General features: G+C 50.2%; 1 protein-coding gene and 2 pseudogenes across 13 annotated transcripts in view, besides 5 other annotated features; all 3 read right to left on the bottom strand.

Moving 5' to 3' along the window:
• CLEC17A (C-type lectin domain containing 17A) overlaps positions 1-14,953 on the bottom strand; it is a 31,085-nt gene extending 16,132 nt beyond the window's left edge. For 5 of the 13 annotated variants that reach the window (XM_017026785.3, XM_017026792.2, XM_017026791.3 and 2 more), the window contains exons 1-9: positions 12,701-12,820; positions 12,470-12,547; positions 8,213-8,290; positions 5,811-6,165; positions 3,546-3,623; positions 1,355-1,387; positions 1,222-1,272; positions 1,104-1,145; positions 589-630 (exon numbers count right to left, since the gene is read on the bottom strand). In XM_017026785.3, the coding sequence (XP_016882274.1) occupies positions 589-630; positions 1,104-1,145; positions 1,222-1,272; positions 1,355-1,387; positions 3,546-3,618 (241 nt within the window). In that variant the 5' untranslated portion in view covers positions 3,619-3,623; positions 5,811-6,165; positions 8,213-8,290; positions 12,470-12,547; positions 12,701-12,820. Of the gene's footprint in view, positions 1-588; positions 631-1,103; positions 1,146-1,221; positions 1,273-1,354; positions 1,388-3,545; positions 3,624-5,810; positions 6,166-8,212; positions 8,291-10,073; positions 10,293-12,469; positions 12,548-12,700; positions 12,821-14,842 lie in introns of those variants that run through there. The other 8 variants (NR_109784.2, NR_109785.2, NM_001204118.2 and 5 more) reach the window with 5 other exon arrangements.
• On the bottom strand, positions 7,248-7,547 carry RN7SL842P (RNA, 7SL, cytoplasmic 842, pseudogene; annotated as a pseudogene).
• Positions 8,582-8,671: an enhancer, noted in NCBI's record as "active region_14177". NCBI's record gives its function as "activates an Ori minimal core promoter by ATAC-STARR-seq in GM12878 lymphoblastoid cells {active_cell/tissue: GM12878}" and the evidence as "EXISTENCE:reporter gene assay evidence [ECO:0000049][PMID:35858748]".
• Positions 10,347-10,396: an enhancer, noted in NCBI's record as "active region_14176". NCBI's record gives its function as "activates an Ori minimal core promoter by ATAC-STARR-seq in GM12878 lymphoblastoid cells {active_cell/tissue: GM12878}" and the evidence as "EXISTENCE:reporter gene assay evidence [ECO:0000049][PMID:35858748]".
• RN7SL337P (RNA, 7SL, cytoplasmic 337, pseudogene) lies at positions 11,509-11,809 on the bottom strand (annotated as a pseudogene).
• Positions 12,536-12,705: an enhancer, noted in NCBI's record as "active region_14175". NCBI's record gives its function as "activates an Ori minimal core promoter by ATAC-STARR-seq in GM12878 lymphoblastoid cells {active_cell/tissue: GM12878}" and the evidence as "EXISTENCE:reporter gene assay evidence [ECO:0000049][PMID:35858748]".
• Positions 13,047-13,190: a silencer, noted in NCBI's record as "fragment chr19:14693526-14693669 (GRCh37/hg19 assembly coordinates)". NCBI's record gives its function as "represses an EF-1alpha promoter that drives an FKBP-Casp9 reporter gene in an ReSE screen in K562 erythroleukemia cells {active_cell/tissue: K562}" and the evidence as "EXISTENCE:reporter gene assay evidence [ECO:0000049][PMID:32094911]".
• Positions 15,147-15,196: an enhancer, noted in NCBI's record as "active region_14174". NCBI's record gives its function as "activates an Ori minimal core promoter by ATAC-STARR-seq in GM12878 lymphoblastoid cells {active_cell/tissue: GM12878}" and the evidence as "EXISTENCE:reporter gene assay evidence [ECO:0000049][PMID:35858748]".

Genomic DNA, 16,771 nt, shown 5'->3' with positions numbered 1-16,771 from the left:
TACCACCACTATCATCATCACCATCTCACTAACACCATCACTACCTTCATCATCACCACCACCACCATCACCAACAATACCATCACTACCTCCGCCCTGCATTACCACCATATCACTGTTTCCACCATCATTACCATCATCAATACCAACAACACCATCACTATCTCCACCATCACCACCATCATCAGTATCTCCACCATCACCATCAGCACACAACAACGCCATCACTACCTCTACCATCGTTACTACCACCAACCATCCTCTTCCTTTCCATCATCTCCTTCCTCATCCTTCCATCACAATCACCAACAGAACCATAAGTACATCATCATTATCAAAAACAAAACAACCACATAACTCTGGTCCTCAGAAGGACAAAAAAGAATACACGTTTGCAAACTCTGATGTCAAGGAATGGCTTTCTCACTTAGAGCAGCGCTCACTAGACTAACTCAGAACAGTGCAGCAGGTCCTGAAGGAGCAGCTTCTTAAAGGAGAAGTTCCTCTGACTCAGGGTCTCACTGTAGAGCCATAGGTCTCAATCAGATACACTAGCCACTGTCAGAGGGGAAATGGGAGGACACTTACCGGCCAGGGATGGCTGCAATGGAGAAGGCTCAAGATTCACAGCTGGGAGAAAGGGGGAGAGAGGTTTATTCAGAAGATGCCAAAGACTCTGTCTTCCAAGATCAACAACCTCTGTTTTGTTCTCTGGTCAGAATTTAGGGGGCTGGCTGTGGGCAGTGGCTCACGCCTGTAATTCCAGCACTGTCGGAGGCTGAGGCGGGTGGATCACCTGAGGTCAGGAGTTTGAGACCAGCCTGGCCAACATGGCAAAACCCCATCTCTATTAAAAATACAAAACTTAGCCAGGTGTGGTGGTTCGTGCCTGTAGTCCCAGCTACTCAGGAGGCTGAAGCAGGAGAATCACTTGAACCCAGGAGGCAGAGGTTGCAGTGAGCCAGTATCGCACCACTGCACTCCAGCCTGGATGACAGTGAGACTCTGTCTCAAAAAAAATAAATAAATAAAAATTGGGGGATTGAAAGGAAACATCCAGGTATCCCCTCTTAGGCATCTTAAAGGGTCTTCCCACTGCTCACCCAGTTGAGGAGGTGGACAGGTGACAGCGGCGAGGTCCAGGCCTAGAAGAGATGAGAAAGTCATTTCAAGAAGGGCTTCAGCCAGGTGAGCAGGAAGACTCCAACTGTCAGCTCTCACCTGTCATGTTCCGGGGCTTGCAAGGAAGTGGGGGTTTCTCTGTTTCCTTTGCTGAGGAGGGAGGAATGGTTGGTCAGGGCCAGAGCAGGGCAAAGCCAGCTCTGGGTCTCCTACACCCCCAGCCCCAACTCACCTGCCCTTGGAGGTCTTGGTGGAGCACTTGAACCTGGAGAAGAGAAGCTCAGGGTGAGGGCTGGGCTGAGGATGGGAATGCGCCAAGAGGAAGTGATGGAAACAGGGTTAGGATTGCAGTGGAGGATTGGAGATTAGGTTACAGACGGGGTTGGACGTAAGAATGCAATTGGGATTAGGGATGGAGATGGGATTAAGTAGGGTGACCAACGAACCTAGATTGCCTGGGTATCTCCCTATTTTATTTTATTTTTTATTTTATTTTATATTTTTTGAGACAGAGTCTTGCTCTGTTGCTCAGACTGGAGTGCAGTGGCGTGATCTCATCTCACTGAAACCTCCGCCCCCTGGGTTCAAGCAATTCTGCCTCAGCCCCCTCAGCTGGGATTACAGGCGTATGCTACCACGCCCAGCTAACTTTTATATTTTTAGTAGAGACAGGATTCCACCATGTTGGCCAGGCTGGTCTCGAACTCCTGACCTCAAGTGATCCACCCGCCTTGGCCTCCCAAAGTGCTGGGATTACAGGGCTGAGCCACCGTGCCCGGCCATGTTTTTGTTTGTTTGTTTGTTTGTTTGTTTGTTTTATGAGACAGAGTCTCTCTCTGTCTCCCAGGCTGGAGTTCAGTGGCGCGATCTTGGCTCACTGCAACCTCCGCCTCCCAGGTTCACGCCATTCTCCTGCCTCAGTCTCCCAAGTAGCTGGGACTACAGGTGCCCACCACCACACCCAGCTAATTTTTTGTATTTTTTTAATAGAGACGGGGTTTCACCGTGTTAGCTAGGATGGTCTCAATCTCCTGACCTCGTGATCCACCCGCCTCAGCCTCCCAAAGTGCTGGGATTACAGGCGTGAGCCACCGCACCCAGCCCGTGTTCTATTTTTTTAAAGACAGTGCCTTGCTCTGTCATCCAGACTGGAGTGCAGTGGTGCCATCATAGCTCACTGCACCCTTGAACTCCCGGGTTCTAGCAATCCTACCACCTCGGCCTCCTGAGAAGCTGGGACAACAGGCACACATCCCACAACTGGCTAATTTTTTTAATTTGAAAAAAAAAATGTTTTCATATAGCTGGGGGTTTCACTGTGTTACCCAGGATGGTCTCTTTTCTGGGGCTCCAGTGATGCTCCCACCTTGGCTTCCCAAAGTGCTAGAATTACAAGCATGAGCCACCACGCCTGGCCCAAACTTCCCTTTTTTTTTTTTTTTTTTTTTGGTAGAGATGGGCGTCTTGCTATATATTGCCCAAGCTGGTCTCGAACTCCTGGCCTCCAGTGAACTCATGGCTAAGTGATCCTCCCATCTTGGCCTCCCAAAGCAGTGGGACTACAGACACACACCACTGCAACCAGCCCAAACCTCCACTTTTATATCCTCTGATCAGATTCTTGTTGAACCCTGGGCTATGCCTTGGGTTTATTGAGATTCAAGATTAAATAAAGCCCTGGGCTTTGAGTGGTAATGAGAGGAGATTGAGGAGCCCACAGGCCACTCCCAGTTTCTCAAGCACCAGCTTTTATGACTCGGGGACTTTGCAGCCAACAATTCTCTCCTGTGCTTCTCTACTTAAGAAATGTCTGCTCGGCCAGGCGTGGTGGCTCACACCTGTAATCCCAGCACTTTGGGATGCCAAGGCAGGCGGATCACTTGAGGCCAGGAGTTTGAGACCATCCTGGCCAATATGGTGAAACCCTGGTCTCTACTAAAAATACAAAAGTTAACCAGGCATGGTAGCAGGCGCCTGCAATCCCAGCTAATCGGGAGGCTGAGGCAAAAGAATTGCTTGAACCCAGGAGGCGAGGTTGCAGTGAGCGGAGATTGTGCCACTGAACTCCAGCCTGGGTGACAGAGTGAAATTCCATCTCAAAAAAAAAGAAAAAAAGAAAGAAATGTCTACTCATCCCTCAAGTCCCACTCCAAAGTCCCTTCCTCTAATTGAGCTCTCAGTCCCCCAAGGATTTTGCCAATCTCCTGACCCTTCCTCTCTCAACCCTGCTCACCAAGGCTGTGTCCAAACCCGCCTCTGCCATCAGACTGACAGGTCCTCCTGGGCAGGGTGTGTGTTGCACAGTGCCTGGCATGGGCTGGATACAGAGGAGACTGACTGTGTGTCTACAATGCCCAGCCAATGCCTCCTGGAAACCCTGTTCCCTGTATTCCCCCAGGTCACACTCCAAAAAGTCCTCTTACCTGGCTTGGGAGGAAGGTCCTTGTAGGGAGGTGTTGAGTTCTCATAGTCATCATCCTCCTCCTCCTCCTCCATGGTCCCTTCCAGGGGAAAGGCAAGTCAGAGCCCAGCCATTCCCTCCTCCCTCCATCCCTCAAGCCCTGGTCTCTGCCTCAGCTGCCCCATGATGGGGATTCTGTACCCTGGATCTTGACCACACCTGGGCCCCAGCCCCAGCCTGGCCAGGGCCTTACCTGGTGGGTCTGGACACCCAGCGATAGTATACATGTTGTGCATGGCTACAGCTAACACCAGGAACATGACAAGTGGTAGCCAGGTCTTGTCCCTCCTACTCAGATGTCTAAGGCATCTGTCTGTTTCCCTTTCCTTTCAAAGTCAAGTACAGGCAAATCCATCTTGGGGGGAAGCCCCTGGACCTCACACAAACACACACACACACACACACACACACACACACACACATTTTTCTCCGGAGTTTGGATTCACACACGGAAGAAACAATGGGCCGGGAGTGGTGGCTCACATCTGTAATCCCAGCACTTTGGGAGGCTGAGGCTGGCAGGTTGCCTGAGTTTGGGAGTTCGAGATCAGCCTGGGCAACCAACATGGCGAAACCCCGTCTCTAACAAAAATACAAAAACTAGCCAGGCATGATGGTGCAAGCCTGTAATCCCAGCTACTTGTGAGGCTGAGGCAGGTGAATCACTTGAACTCAGGAGGTGGAGGTTGCAGTGAGCTGAGATCGCACCACTGCACTCCAACCTGAGTGACAGAGTGAGATTCTGTCTCAAAAAAAAAAAAAAAGAGGAAGGAGAAACAATGACAATAGCCCCCATTGCAGTGAGCCGAGATAGCGCCACTGCACTCCAGCCTGGGCAACACAGTGAGATTCTGTCTCAAAAAAAAGGGCCAGGCGCGGTGGCTCACGCCTGTAATCCCAGCACTTTGGGAGACTGAGGCAGTCAGATCACAAGGTCAGGAGATCGAGACTATCCTGGCTAACATGGTGAAACCCTGTCTCTACTAAAAATACAAAAAATTAGCCAGGCGTGGTGGCGGGCGCCTGTGGTCCCAGCTACTCAGGAGGCTGAGGCAGGAGAATGGCGTGAACCTGGGAGGCGGAGCTTGCAGTGAGCCGAGATCGCGCCACTGCACTCCAGCCTGGGCGACAGAGCAAAACTCTGTCTCAAAAAAAAAAAAAGAAGAAAAGGAAAAAGAAGAAACTATGACAACAGCCACACCCCTCCCCTCTCCCAGTTGAGCTCCCCTACAGAGCACCAAGTCCTGGGTGGAAGAGATGGATAAACTTCTTCCTGCAATCTAGACCAGAGAGACAATAAACCAGTAAAGAGACGCAGAAATAGGCTGGGCGCAGTGGCTCATGCCTATAATCCCAGCACTTTGGGAGGCCAAGGCAGGAGGATCGCTTGAGGCCAGGAGTTCAAGACCAGCCTGGGCAACATAGCAAGACCCTATCTCTGTAAAAAAAAAAAAAAAATTAGAAAAAACCATCCAGGCATGGTGGTGCACACCTGTAGTCCCAGCTATCGGGAGACTGAGGTGGGAGGATTGCTTGAGCTCAGGAGGTTGACACAGCAGTGAGCCATGATTGCACTACCACACTCCAGCCTGGGCAACAGAAGGAGACCCCACTCTTAAAGAAAAAAGAAAAGAGGCTGGGCATGGTGGCTCACGCCTGTAATCTCAGCACTTTGGGAGGCTGAGGCAGGCAGATCACCTGAGGTCGGGAGTTCGAGACCAGCCTGAGCAACATGGAGGAACCCCATCTTTTCTAAAAATACAAAATTAGCCGGGCACGGTGGCACATGCCTGTAATCCCGCTGCCAGGGAGACTGAGTCAGGAGAATCACTTGAACCCGGGAGGCAGAGGTTGCTGTCAGCCAAGATTGCACCATTGCACTCCGGCCTGGGCAGCAAGAGTGAAACTCCGTCTCAAGAAAAAAAAAAAAAAAAGTAAAGAAATTAAGAAACATTAAAATATGTTTTTATATAGACTAAGTATTACTGCTCTAAACCTAATAAAACAGAGCAATAGGGATAGGATAAAAGCTAATGTAGCGAGGTCATCAGGAAGTGCCTCCTGGAAGTGGTAACATTTGTAACAAGATGTTAAGGGGATAGGTGTTAAGTATTCCCCCACATTCCATGGTGAAGTACCAGGGCACTGGGTCAGTTATCTATGGCTGCACAACCAATTACCCCAAAACGCAGTGACTTAAAACAACCATAAGCATTTATTATCTCACAGTTTCTGTGGTTCAGGAATCTGAGAGCAGCTTAGCTGGGTAGTTCTAGCTTGAGATCTCTTGCGTGATTGTAGTCAAGATGTTGCCTGGGACTGCAAGTCATCTGCAGGCTTGACTGGGGCTAGAGGATCTGCTTCCAAGATGATGCACTCACATGGCTGTTGGTGGGAGGCCTCAGTTCCTTGCCATGTGAGCCTCTCCAAAGGGATGACTGGGCATCTTCACAACATGGCAGAGGCAAAGATAGAAGCCACCATGCTCCTATGATCTAGCCTCACAAGTCACAAAGGATGGTCTCCACTATACAGTATTCTATTTATCACATGGACCAGCTCTGAGTCGTTGTGGGAAGAGACTACACAAGGGCACGAATATGAGAACGTAAAGGTCACAGGGAACCCATCTTGAAGGCTGACTACCACAGTCATCTCTGCAGAACTTACAGGCCCTGAGAGTCATATGAGTCATATATGTAGACCCTGAGCTTCACATGTGAGGCTTTACAGACAGTGACTCATGCCTGTAACCCCAGCTACTCGGGAGGGTGTAGTAGGAGGATTGCTTGGACCCAAGAGCTCAAGGCTGCAGTGAGCTATGATTGCACCACTTCAGGGCAGCCTGGGTGACAAGCAAGACCCTGTCTCAAAAATATTTTTTTTAAATTCTCTGGTTTCCTCTCATAAAAACTAATGAGCAGACAATTCACAGTTCTCTTCTCTGTGTGTCTCTTTGAGGGTTTGATTGAAAGGGGAAGGGATGGAAGGGGATGGAGGGGATTTTAAAAAACAAAAACAGTTGCGTTTCAGGATGGGGATGAAGATGAGGTGAGGTTTGGATTAGAATTGGTGTTGGGATGGGGTGGGATGGGATGGAAAATGGGTTGGGGACAGGGATGGATGTGGGTAAGGTCATGATGTGGTTAGGATGAAGAACAGAGTCCTTGCCAGGTTTGGGAAGGGGGAAGGAGTCGAGGCTGGGCTATAGTAGAGAGGGTGATGAAGTTGGATTGGAGAGTGGATGCTGGGCTGCATGTGGATGTGGGGACAGGACTGTGCTTTTGGAGCAGACGTGGCCCTGAAGAAGGGAATGGGATTGGTTGGTCATATATGTAGACCCAGGGCTTGAGGGTCACATTAGGACCATAAATTGGAAATGGGGCAGTGAAACAACACAGCACAGGTCACCTCCTACCTCAGGCAAGTCCCACCATATTTCTGGACCTCCCAGGTGGCCCCACTCTGGACTCAGAGATGGGGGATATACAGCCTCAGCCCTCATAGAATGGCCCCTGTCTAAGGTCACCAGGACCAGGCCATCAGCATATCTCAGGGATTTTCTGTTTTGGGCCCCCAGGATCTCTCATGGCCTCAGGGTCCCTGGTGGCAGTAAACTCAGGAATACCTCAAAAACCTCCGGTTTCATTTTCTCTATTTTTTTAGAAGTGGGGTCGCGCTATGCTGCCCAAGCTGGAGTGCAGCGGCTACTCACAGGAGCAGTCGCACTACTGATCAGCTCGGGGGTGTCGAGTGGCTCTGTTTCCAACCTGGAAACCCCTCCTCAGACACCTTAGGCAACCTGGTGGTCCCTGCTCCCAAAACATCACCATATTGATGCCAAACTTAGTGCAGATGCCCAATCACATACTTCACAATAGCCCAGAACTCCTGGGCTCAAGCGATCCTCCTGACTCAGCCTCCCAAGTAGCTGGGACTACAGACATGTGCCACCACAAACGGTCCAAACCTCTACTTGTTTTTTTTTTTTTTTTGGCAGAGATGGGGTCTTGCTATGTTGCCCCGGCTGGTCTCAAACTCCTGTCCTCAAGCGATCCTCCCACCTCGGCCTCCCAAAGTATCAAGACTACAGATGCACACCACTGCAGCTGGCCCAAACCTCCACTTTAACAACCACTTATCAGTCTCCTGTTGGACCCTGTACCATGCCTTGGGTTTGTGATCCAAGTCTAAATAAAACCTGGGCTTTGGGTAGAAAGGTGAGGAGATTGGGAGCCCACAGTCCACTCCCAGTTTCTCAAGCACCAGCTTTTGTAACTCAGGGACTTTGCACCTAACAGTTCTCTCCTGGACTTCTCTTCTTAAGAAATGTCTACTCATCCCTCAAGTCTCACCCCAAAGTCCCTTCCTCTATTTGAGCCCTCAGTCCCCCAAGGATTTTGCCAATCTCCTGACCCCTCCTCTCTCACCCTGCTCACCAAGACTGTGCCCAATCCTGCCTCTGCCATCAGACTGACAGGTCCTCCTGGGCAGGGTGTGGGTTCCACAGTGCCCGGCATGGGCTGTGTAGAGAGGAGACTGACTGTGTGTCTACAATGCCCAACCAATGCCCACTGGAGACCCCGTTCCCTGTATTCCCCCAGGTCACACTCCAAAAAGTCCTCTTACCTGGCTTGGGAGGAAGGTCCTTGTAGGGAGGTGTTGAGTTCTCATAGTCATCATCCTCCTCCTCCTCCTCCATGGTCCCTTCCAGGGGAAAGGCAAGTCAGAGCCCAGCCATTCCCTCCTCCCTCCATCCCTCAAGCCCTGGTCTCTGCCTCAGCTGCCCCATGATGGGGATTCTGTACCCTGGATCTTGACCACACCTGGGCCCCAGCCCCAGCCTGGCCAGGGCCTTACCTGGTGGGTCTGGACACCCAGAGATAGAATACAGGTTGTGCATGGCTACCGCTAACACCAGGAACATGACAAGGGGTAGCCAGGTCTTGTCTCTCCTACTCAGATGTCTAAGGCATCTGTCTGTTTCCCTTTCCTTTCAAAGTCAAGTACAGGCAAATCCATCTTGGGGGGAAGCCCCCAGACCTCACACAAACACAAACACACACACACACACACACACACACACATCTTTCTCTGGAGTTTGGACTCACACATAGAAGAAACAATGGGCCGGGGGTGGTGGCTCACGTCTGTAATCCCAGCACTTTGGGAGGCTGAGGCTGGCAGGTCGCCTGAGTTTGGGAGTTCGAGATCAGCCTGGGCAACCAACGTGGTGAAACCCCGTCTCTACCAAAAATACAAAAACTAGCCGGGCGTGGTGGTGCCTGCCTGTAATCCCAGCTACTTGTGAGGCTGAGGCAGGTGAATCACTTGAACTCAGGAGGTGGAGGTTGCAGTGAGCTGAGATCATGCCACTGCACTCCAGCCTGAGTGACAGAGTGAGATTCTGTCTCAAAAAAAAAAAAAAAGAAAGAAAGAAAGAAAAAGAAGAAACAATGACAACAGCCACCCACCTCCCCGCTCCCAGTTGAGCTCCCCTACAGAGCACCAAGTTCTGGGTGGAAGAGATGGATAAACTTCTTCCTTCAATCTAGACCAGAGACACAATAAACCAGTAAAGAGACATAGAAATAGGCTGGGCGCAATGGCTCATGCCTATAATCCCAGCACTTTGGGAGGCCAAGGCAGGAGGATCGCTTGAGGCCAGGAGTTCAAGACCAGCCTGGGCAACATAGCAAGACCCTATCTCTGTAAAAAAAATTTAGAAAAAACCATCCAGGCATGGTGGTGCACACCAGTAGTCCCAGCTATCAGGAGGCTGAGGTGGGAGGATTGCTTGAGCTCAGGAGGTTGACACAGCAGTGAGCCATGATTGCACTACTACACTCCAGCCTGGGCAACAGAGGGAGACCCCACTCTTAAAAAAGTAGAAAAGAGGCTGGGCGTGGTGGCTCGTGCCTGTAATCTCAGCACTTTGGGAGGCCAAGGCAGGCAGATCACCTGAGGTCGGGAGTTCGAGACCAGCCTGACCAACATGGAGAAACCCCATCTTTTCTAAAAATACAAAATTAGCCGGGCACAGTGGCACATGCCTGTAATCCCGCTGCCAGGGAGGCTGAGTCAGGAGAATCACTTGAACCCGGGAGGCAGAGGTTGCTGTCAGCCAAGATTGCACCATTGCACTCCGGCCTGGGCAGCAAGAGTGAAACTCCGTCTCAAGAAAAAAAAAAAAAAAAAGTAAAGAAATTAAGAAACATTAAAATATGTTTTTATATAGACTAAGTATTACTGCTCTAAACCTAATAAAACAGAGCAATGGGATAGGATAAAAGCTAATGTAGAGAGGTCATCAGGAAGTACCTCCTGGAAGTGGTAACATTTGTAACAAGATGTTAAGGGGATAGGTGTTAAGTATTCCCCCACATTCCATGGTGAAGTACCAGGGCACTGGGTCAGTTATCTATGGCTGCACAACCAATTACCCCAAAACGCAGTGACTTAAAACAACCATAAGCATTTATTATCTCACAGTTTCTGTGGTTCAGGAATCTGAGAGCAGCTTAGCTGGGTAGTTCTAGCTTGAGATCTCTTGCGTGATTGTAGTCAAGATGTTGCCTGGGACTGCAAGTCATCTGCAGGCTTGACTGGGGCTAGAGGATCTGCTTCCAAGATGATGCACTCACATGGCTGTTGGTGGGAGGCCTCAGTTCCTTGCCATGTGAGCCTCTCCAAAGGGATGACTGGGCATCTTCACAACATGGCAGAGGCAAAGATAGAAGCCACCATGCTCCTATGATCTAGCCTCACAAGTCACAAAGGATGGTCTCCACTATACAGTATTCTATTTATCACATGGACCAGCTCTGAGTCATTGTGGGAAGAGACTACACAAGGGCACGAATATGAGAACGTAAGGGTCACAGGGAACCCATCTTGAAGGCTGACTACCACAGTCATCTCTGCAGAACTTACAGGCCCTGAGAGTCATATGAGTCATATATGTAGACCCTGAGCTTCACATGAGGCTTTACAGACAGTGACTCATGCCTGTAACCCCAGCTACTCGGGAGGGTGTAGTAGGAGGATTGCTTGGACCCAGGAGCTCAAGGCTGCAGTGAGCTATGATTGCACCACTTCAGGGCAGCCTGGGTGACAAGCAAGACCCTGTCTCAAAAATATTTTTTTTAAATTCTCTGGTTTCCTCTCATAAAAACTAATGAGCAGACAATTCACAGTTCTCTTCTCTGTGTGTCTCTTTGAGGGTTTGATTGAAAGGAGAAGGGATGGAAGGGGATGGAGGGGATTTTAAAAAACAAAAACAGTTGCGTTTCAGGATGGGGATGAAGATGAGGTGGGGTTTGGATTAGAATTGGTGTTGGGATGGGGTGGGATGGGATGGAAAATGGGTTGGGGACAGGGATGGATGTGGGTAAGGTCATGATGTGGTTAGGATGAAGAACAGAGTCCTTGCCAGGTTTGGGAATGGGGAAGGAGTCGAGGCTGGGCTATAGTAGAGAGGGTGATGAAGTTGGATTGGAGAGTGGATGCTGGGCTGCATGTGGATGTGGGGACAGGACTGTGCTTTTGGAGCAGACGTGGCCCTGAAGAAGGGAATGGGATTGGTTGGTCATATATGTAGACCCAGGGCTTGAGGGTCACATTAGGACCATAAATTGGAAATGGGGCAGTGAAACAACACAGCACAGGTCACCTCCTACCTCAGGCAAGTCCCACCATATTTCTGGACCTCCCAGGTGGCCCCACTTTGGACTCAGAGATGGGGGATATACAGCCTCAGCCCTCACAGAATGGCTCCTGTCTAAGGTCACCAGGACCAGGCCATCAGCATATCTCAGGGATTTTCTGTTTTGGGCCTCCGGGATCTCTCATGGCCTCAGGGTCCCTGGTGGCAGTAAACTCAGGAATACCTCAAAAACCTCCGGTTTCATTTTCTCTATTTTTTTAGAAGTGGAGTCGCGCTATGCTGCCCAAGCTGGAGTGCAGCGGCTACTCACAGGAGCAGTCGCACTACTGATCAGCTTGGGGGTGTCGAACTGCTCCGTTTCCAACCTGGAAACCCCTCCTCAGACACCTTAGGCAACCTGGTGGTCCCCTGCTCCCAAAACATCACCATATTGATGCCAAACTTAGTGCAGACGCCCGATCGCCTAGTTCACAATCGCCCAGAACTCCTGGGCTCAAGTGATCCTACTGACTCAGCCTCCCAAGTAGCTGGGACTACAGACATGTGCCACCACACACGGCCCAAACCTCTATTTTTTTTTTTTTTTGGCAGAGATAGGGTCTTGCTATGTTGCCCTGGCTGGTCTCAAATTCCTGTCCTCAAGCGATCCTCCCACCTTGACCTCCCAAAGTATCAAGACTACAGACGCACACCACTGCAGCTGGCCCAAACCTCCACTTTAACAACCACTTATCAGTCTCTTGTTGAACCCTGTGCTATGCCTTGGGTTTGAGATCCAAGTCTAAATAAAACCTGGGCTTTGGGTAGAAAGGTGAGGAGACTGGGAGCCCACAGTCCACTCCCAGTTTCTCAAGCACCAGCTTTTGTAACTCAGAGACTTTGCACCTAACTGTTCTCTCCTGGACTTCTCTTCTTAAGATATGTCTACTCATCCCTCAAGCCCCACCCCAAAGTCCCTTCCTCTATTTGAGCCCTCAGTCCCCCAAGGATTTTGCCAATCTCCTGACCCCTCCTCTCTCACCCTGCTCACCAAGACTGTGCCCAAACCCACCTCCGCCATCAGACTGACAGGTCGTCCTGGGCAGGGTGTGGGTTCCACAGTGCCCGGCATGGGCTGGATACAGAGGAGACTGACTATGTGTCTACAATGCCCAACCAATGCCCACTGGAGACCCCATTCCCTGTATTCCCCCAGGTCACACTCCAAAAAGTCCTCTTACCTGGCTTGGGAGGAAGGTCCTTGTAGGGAGGTGTTGAGTTCTCATAGTCATCATCCTCCTCCTCCTCCTCCATGGTCCCTTCCAGGGGAAAGGCAAGTCAGAGCCCAGCCATTCCCTCCTCCCTCCATCCCTCAAGCCCTGGTCTCTGCCTCAGCTGCCCCATGGTGGGGATTCTGTACCCTGGGTCCTGACCACACCTAGGCCCCAGCCCCAGCCTGGCCGGGGCCTTACCTGGTGGGTCCGGGTACCCAGTGATGGAATACAGATTATGCATGTCTAGCACAGGGAACCTGACAAGTGGCAGCCAGGGCTTGGCAACCTCTGCCCCCTGTCTCTCCGACTCAGGCGTCTGGGGGCTCTCTCAGTTCCCTTTTCCTTTCAAAGTCAAATACATGCAAATTCATTTTGACAGGAAGCCCTCAGACCTCACACGTGCTCACACAAACACACACACACACACACACACACATACACACAGAGCCTTTCTCCCCAGTTTGGATTCACGCACAGAAGGAATAATGACAACTGGCCTGGTGTGGTGGCTCTCGCCTGGAATCCCAGCACTTTTAGAGGCTGAGGTGGATGGATCACTTAAGGCCAGGAGTTCGAGACCAGGTTGGCCAACATGGTGAAACCCAGTCTCTACTAAAAATACAAAAATTAGCCAGGCGCAGTGGCAGGCGCCTGTAATCCCAGCTACTCAGGAGGCTGAGGCAGGAGAATCGCTTGAACCTGGGAGATGGAGGTTGCAGTTAGCCGAGATCACGCCACTGCACTCCAGCCTGAGTGACAGAGTGAGACTCTGTCTCAATAAATAAATAAATTAATTTTTTAAAAAACATTAAATATTAATTAATTAATTAAGGGTCTTGAGATGGATGGTTTATCCTGGATTACCTAGGTGGGCCTTAAATGGCTTTACAGGCCAGGCATCGTGGCTCACGCCTGTAATCCCAGCACTTTGGGAGGCCGAGACAGGCAGATCACGAGGTCAGGAGATCGAGACCATCCTGGCTTACACAGTGAAACTCCGTCTCCACTAAAAATACAAAAAATTAGCTGGGTGTGGTGGCGGGTGCCTGTGGTCCCAGCTACTCGGGAGGCTGAGGGAGGAGAATGGCGTGAACCCAGGAGGTGGAGCTTGCAGTGAGCCGAGATCGCACCACTGCACTCCAGCCTGGGTGACAGAGCGAGACTCCGTCTCAAAAAAAAAAAAAAATGGCATTACAAGGGTCCTCGTAGAAGGGAAACAGAAGGAGATTTGACACAAAAAAAAGGCAATGTGGTCACTAAAGTTATGCTGGCTTTGAAGATGCAAGAAGGAGCCATATGCTAAAGAATGCAACTGCAGAGGCTGGAAACAGCAAGAAAATGGATTCTCACGCTGCAGCCTCTTAAAGAAGCATGGCCCAGCCCATGAACACCTGGGTTTCAGCAGTGAGACTGATGTTGGTCTCCTGACTCCAGAACTATAAAATAATCTGGCCGGGTGCAGTGGCTCACACCTGTAATCCCAACACTTTGGGAGGCCGAGGTGGGTGGATCACGTGAGGTCAGGAGTTTAAGACCAGCTTGGCCAACATGGTGAAATCCCATCTCTACTAAAAATACAAAATTAGCCAGATATGGTGGCGCGCACCTGTAATCCCAGCTACTCAGGAGGCTGAGGCAGGAGAATCGTTTGAACTCGGGAGGTAGAGGTTGCAGTGAGCCGAGATCACATCATTGCACTCCTGCCTGGGCAACAAGAGTGAAACTCCATCTCAAAAAAATAAAATAAAATAATCCATATAATCCATTTCTGGCCAGGCGCGGTGGCTCACGCCTGTAATCCCAACACTTCGGGAGGCTCAGACAGGTGGATCACTTGAGGTCAGGCATTCGAGACCAGCCTGGCCAACATGATGAAATCCCATCTCTACTAAAGTTACAAAAAAAAAAAGAATAGCTGGACATGATAGCGGGCACCTGTAATGCCAGCTACTCGGGTGGCTGCGGCAGAAGAATCGCTTGAACCCGGGAGGCGGAGGCTGCAGTGAGCCAAGATCTCGCCACTGCATTCCAGCCTGGGCAAAAGAGCAGGACTCTATCTCAAAATAGTAACAATAATAATAATTATTATTTCTGTGGTTCCGAGTCACTCAATTTATGAGTAATTTGTTAGAGTCACTATAGGAAACTAATATGTACCCCAAGGGGCAAGACCCCAATTTCCCTTTGTAGAGGTTTTTACTAAAAGTAAGAGGAAATGCAACTCAGATTGGCTTCAACAACAAGGAACATTCATCAGGCCCATGGGGAACATTAGGTTGGGTTTCCATAACTGAGACTCAGAACAAGAGTGTCTCAAACAAAATAGAATGTATTTCTTACCTGACAGGCTCAGTATAAGCAAGTGAGAGCCTCTAACAAATGGAAAAACCTTCCCCCGCACCGCACGTGGGCAATGGGGTAGCCCCGGTCTTAATTGAGGTAGGAGGGCAGCAGCAGATTAACCTCCCTTTCCATTCAAAGCTGACTCTAGGGGCTGGGCTTTCCCCTCTTACATGGCCTGATGTCATAGAGCCTTCCCAGCCTGTAGGAGGGCAAACGTGACTGTACCCATTCCAACCTGTAGGAGGGCAAATGTGACTGTACCCATTCTAGAGATGGGAAAATGGAGACCTGTCTGAGAAGGAAGAAAGAGCCCGTCTGTTCAGCCAACATCTGCTAAGCACACACAAGCTAATCAGGCTCCAGATGGATGGGGGTGGGGAGCAGCTGCAAACAGACATAGGAGGATAGGAGAAGGGGAATAGTAACAGGGGGAGGGACAGGTCAATAGGTCAAAAAGACTGACGGTATATCTGCCCATCAAGAGCACTTTTTAGGCTGAGCATGGTGCCTCATGCCTATAATCCCAGCACTTTGGCAGGCCAAGGCAGGAGGATCTCTTGAGGCCAGGAGCTTGAGACCATCCTGGACAACAAAGTGAGACCCCAACTATACAGAAAAACAAAATTTTTTAGGCTGGGCACGGTGGCTCACGCCTGTAATCCCAGCACTTTGGGAGGCTGAGGTGGGCGGATCACCTGAGGTCAGGAGTTCGAGATCAGCCTGGCAAACATGGTGAAACCCTGTCTCTACTAAAAAATACAAAAATTAGCCGGGCGTGGTGGCAGGCGCCTTAATCCCAGCTACTTGGGAGGCAGAGGCAGGAGAATCATTTGAACCCAGGAGGCAGAGGTTGCAGTGAGCCGAGATCGAGCCATCACACTCAAGCCTGGGGGACAAGAACGAGACTTCTCTCAAAAAAAAAATTTTTTTTAATTAGCTGGGCATGGTGGTGCATGCCTGTAGATCCAGCTACTTGGGAGGCTGAGGTGGGAGGATCGCTTGAGCCCAGGAGATTGAGGATGCAGTGAGCTGTGATCATACCACTGTGCTCAAGCCTGGGCAACAGAGCAAAACTCTGTCTCAAAAAAAAAAAAAAAAAAAAAAAGCACTCTTAGAGGTAAGGGGACCTTCTTACAATAAAGGCTGGGTGGTCTCATGGTATAGGGGTGATAGCTACCTGGCCAATACCATCCCTCGGGACCTGGCACACAGTAGGTATTCAGGAACAGATGTTGGAATCCAGCCCCATTCACTGAAATAACAAGGCTATGAGCCCAGGCTGCTTCCAGCTCAGGCCCATTCTTGCTGTGTCACCTTGGGGGTGCAGAACAACATCTCTGAGCATTAGTCTCCTGATATGTCAAACAGGGATTCATTTGTTCATTCATTGATTCAACAGATAAGTACTGACCACCTACTCTGTGTTAGGCTCTAACACATAAGAACCGAAATACACTGGTGAACAACAACAAAAAATTTTACCCATGGGAGCAGCAACAGGGAGAAAGAGAGTGAATAAAATAAATAACTCAACTACATTAGAAGTTATGTTAGATAGTCACAAATAGAAAAAGAAGAAAAACACAGGTGCAGTGGTGTGAGCCTATAGTCCCAGCTACTCAGGAGGCTGAGATGGGAGGAGTCCTGGAGCCCAGGAGTTTGAGGCTGCAGTGCATTATGGTCACGCCTGTGAATAGCCACTGCACTCCAGCCTGGGCAACATAGTGAGACCCCATCTCTAAAAACAAGAAAAGAAAAAGAAGTAGATGGCCAGGCACAGTGGCTCATGCCTGTAATCCCAGCACTTTGGGAGGCCGAAGCCAGGGGATCACCTGAGGTCAGGAGTTTGAGGCCGGCCTGGCCAATACGGTGAAGCCCTGTCCCTACTAAAAATACGAAAATGAGCTGGGCGTGGTGGTGTGCACC

This window comes from Homo sapiens, chromosome 19, assembly GCF_000001405.40.
Source record: "Homo sapiens chromosome 19, GRCh38.p14 Primary Assembly".
Taxonomy (NCBI): Eukaryota; Metazoa; Chordata; class Mammalia; order Primates; family Hominidae; genus Homo; species Homo sapiens.
Note: the sequence above shows the minus strand (reverse complement) of the source record. Positions and strands in the feature narration are given on the sequence as shown.